The sequence below is a fragment of the Homo sapiens genome, chromosome 6 (assembly GCF_000001405.40).
Source record: "Homo sapiens chromosome 6, GRCh38.p14 Primary Assembly".
In the NCBI taxonomy this organism is placed as follows: Eukaryota; Metazoa; Chordata; class Mammalia; order Primates; family Hominidae; genus Homo; species Homo sapiens.
In genome coordinates, this window is record NC_000006.12 from 166,111,843 (window position 1) to 166,115,040 (window position 3,198).

At 45.8% G+C, this 3,198-nt stretch overlaps 1 annotated feature.

Moving 5' to 3' along the window:
- Positions 507 to 1,706: an enhancer, noted in NCBI's record as "BRD4-independent group 4 enhancer chr6:166525837-166527036 (GRCh37/hg19 assembly coordinates)". NCBI's record gives its function as "activates an origin of replication core promoter dependent on BRD2, P300/CBP, MED14 and CDK7 cofactors, and independent of BRD4, by STARR-seq in HCT116 cells {active_cell/tissue: HCT116}" and the evidence as "EXISTENCE:reporter gene assay evidence [ECO:0000049][PMID:35650434]".

Genomic DNA, 3,198 nt, shown 5'->3' on the forward strand with positions numbered 1-3,198 from the left:
TCTACTAGTAAAATTCATATATATACACAGTAAAGATTTGGTAGATCTTTGTGTGTTAATATAAAATGATCTTTAAGATATTTTGTTGGGCTATAAAAATTTGAATAAAGTCTATACAATATATCTTATTCTAATTTTTGAATAAGGTCTATAATATTTTTCCAATGTTAATTTCCAGATTTTGATTGCTATCGCATGATTGTATGAGTTGTTAACATGAAGGTAAGCTGGTGAAGGATATATGGGAACTCTGTGCTATTTTTGTAAATGTAAGATTATGCAATATAAAACTAAAATACCATAATAACTTTGGTAAAAATATGTATGTTGTGAAAATATAGCTATTTGAATGGAAATGAACATCCAATTCAAGAGAATGGTTTCCTGCGCATCATGAGTGGGGCGAATAGAATGAGAGAGGTGTACAGTAGTGATTTCAACTATACTTGCAATATTTCACTTTTCAAACTTCATCATATATAGTCAGGTGTTTATTACATAATTCTTTGAAATTTTCATATAAAAGGAAAATACACACACACAAAAGGCAATAAAAATTGTTGCAACCAATGTCGTGAGTCTGTGAATAGTGAATACCTGAATCCATCTAAGGTCCCATGATTGAAGCTGCTGCTTTGAAAACCTCGACAGTGTTAGTACTTTCATTTGCTGCACAAAGGCACATTTTACTTCACTGCTGGATGGATCCAAAGGGGAAAATATTCCTGCGAGGATGCTGTTCTGTCACTGGACGGAAGGCAAGGGAGTCCGAGAGTGTGGAGAAAGAAAGAAAATCCTTCAACAACTGTGCCTTCCGTGACTAGAGCCGTTCTCATTTTTACAGGGAGACGCCATCTGCCCATTCAGGAATGTGCGGTGAGACTCTCTCCTTGGGCTCTGCACACCACCGTGAACATTTTGTCAGCACGGGTGACTCATAGCTTACACGGAAAACAGTAGCCTGTCCCTAGCAACCACACATCGTCTTTTCCCCAGACATTTCCAATTTCTCTGCACTCCTATGGAGACTGTTTTCTTCTTGCTTCACTCTTTCTGTGACATAAGACAGAAATTTTCACAGCTCTTCCACACCATGGGTGTATATGGACTGAACCAGCATAACAGCAAATAAACGGTGGTGGACCCAGGTACTGGAAATAGCCAGACCACTTACCTTAAGGGAAAATGTACCAGGAAGAACCTTAGTGTCCAGCCAGCTTCTAGGAACTGCTTTTTGGTCTCCAAAGGATGGGGACCGGTGGTGGGCCAAGCAGCCTCGGGTGAGTGTGGCCTCCTGGTTCTCGATGCTGATACTGAACATGCAGTAAAACCCTGTGAGGGAGCACGATGGCTAGGAACAGCCGATTAGCAGATGAATGAGAATAAATGGGAGAAAGTGGAGCCTTTTCCAGCCAGTGTTCTTTAACAATGATCCTCACTGATTCGCTGCCACACACACGTCAGTCCTCGCCTCAAGATGAGCATATTGCTCGCCGTGGATTCCTCTCTCCTGTTGACGTCCTCTCTCTTCTCCTGTCTCGGTTTATCAACTACTTTTTCCCTTCCAATGGCCTTTCCCTTTCTCTCCTGTGCTGGCGGCTCCTTTCCTCTCTCTGATCTGCAAACGTGAGCCCTCTTTTCTGCACAGCCTCAGATTCCGCCTAAGAGATTCACCCATTCTTTGACTTTATGGCCCATTTATGCCTCAGTGATTCCCGAATGTGTATATCCAACTCAGGCCTCTTTAAGTGATTACTTGACAAATCCATCTGAAAATCACACAGCTACATCCAACTTCACACATCTAAAATTGTCTCGTTCTAGCCCCAAATATGTTCTCCTCTCGTGTTCTCTCTCTTGGCGACTGGTGCCTCCATGTCCCTTCTTGCTCCCAACAGACATGGTGTCATTCTTCACGCCCCACATCGTCCCTCTCCTCATCCCCCTCATATCTTGTTCCTTTTTTGCAGCGACACCCCTCTGCTGGAGTGTCTGGCCCCAGGGCAGGCAGAAGGAGCTTCGCTTCCTGAGCATCCTGAACAAAGAGTTCAGTTGGAGATGGGACCGCCAATGTCACCTTACCAAGGAGAACAGAGAGCTGCAGCTGCCTCCATGGCAGCGATACCTCCAGGTCACTGTGGCAGCAGGAGTGACTGGGGCTGGAGAGAAATGACTGCCCCTGGGCTGCGGGACATTTGCACATTTGCAGTAGGAAGTGCAGAGGGCTTCATGCCCGAGAGCTGCTGAGGGAGCCAGGGGCAATTCCTGGGGCAAGTGGGGATTCCAGGAGCCGTGGACCTGTGTTGTCCCTGAGCTCAGCACATCCAGTGCTTTGCTCAAGGCAGCAGGCCTCCGAGCCCATGCTGCAGTTGCTTCTCTAATTACTTCCATCCACTTTCCACCTCCTCCCCTTAGGTAGGAAGTCCTGCCAGAGTCACAGCTGTGAGAAAAGTGGCACCTTCCTGAAACAGCTGAGTCAAGTCAGTCTTCTCATGACTTCATGTCTAATCCCTCATGTTTCTAATAGGAATGAAGGAGGGTAAACCATTTAGAAATAAAACATAAAGATTTATTTGCATGATGTCTCCATGAAACAGCTCCTTGGACTGTCTGTGGGAGGAAGAATGTTGCAGGAAGAGGACATGGCATGAACCGGCAAGGTTTTCCCCAAAATTCCAAGGGACACCAGGGGGCACAGAACTGGAAGTCAGGCAGCTGAGTCCTGGCTAGGAAGCAGTGGGACGTGACACCTGCCAAGTCTGAAGGGAGAGAAAGGAGGCCACAGGGCAGGGCAGCCAAGGAGCAGGCCGGACTCTCAGCCTCAGGAGCCCTTCAGGAGGGGGCCTTCGTGGGTCTCCAGGGTCTGCCAGCATGAGGGGCTGTGCCAGGCTGCACTCCTAGGGGCTCAGGAACCAAGCCCTTGTGTTACCAGAACGCTCAGACACGCTGCTACATCAATATCTTCTGAAGGGGAGCTCTAGACTTATAGAAGTGGGAGATCAGGATGGCAGATATTAATGATCTGCCAATTAATATTAATTATGCCTCTCTAGTGAGCAAATTCTGAGAAAGGTGTTTTCCTCATTGGCAAAATGGTTTAGGAAGCCCTTGACAAGGTTGTAATAGGAGTTAAAAATATGTGTGAACATATGTACGTGAATATGTATAGTATGTATGTGAATCGTGGGTATATATATA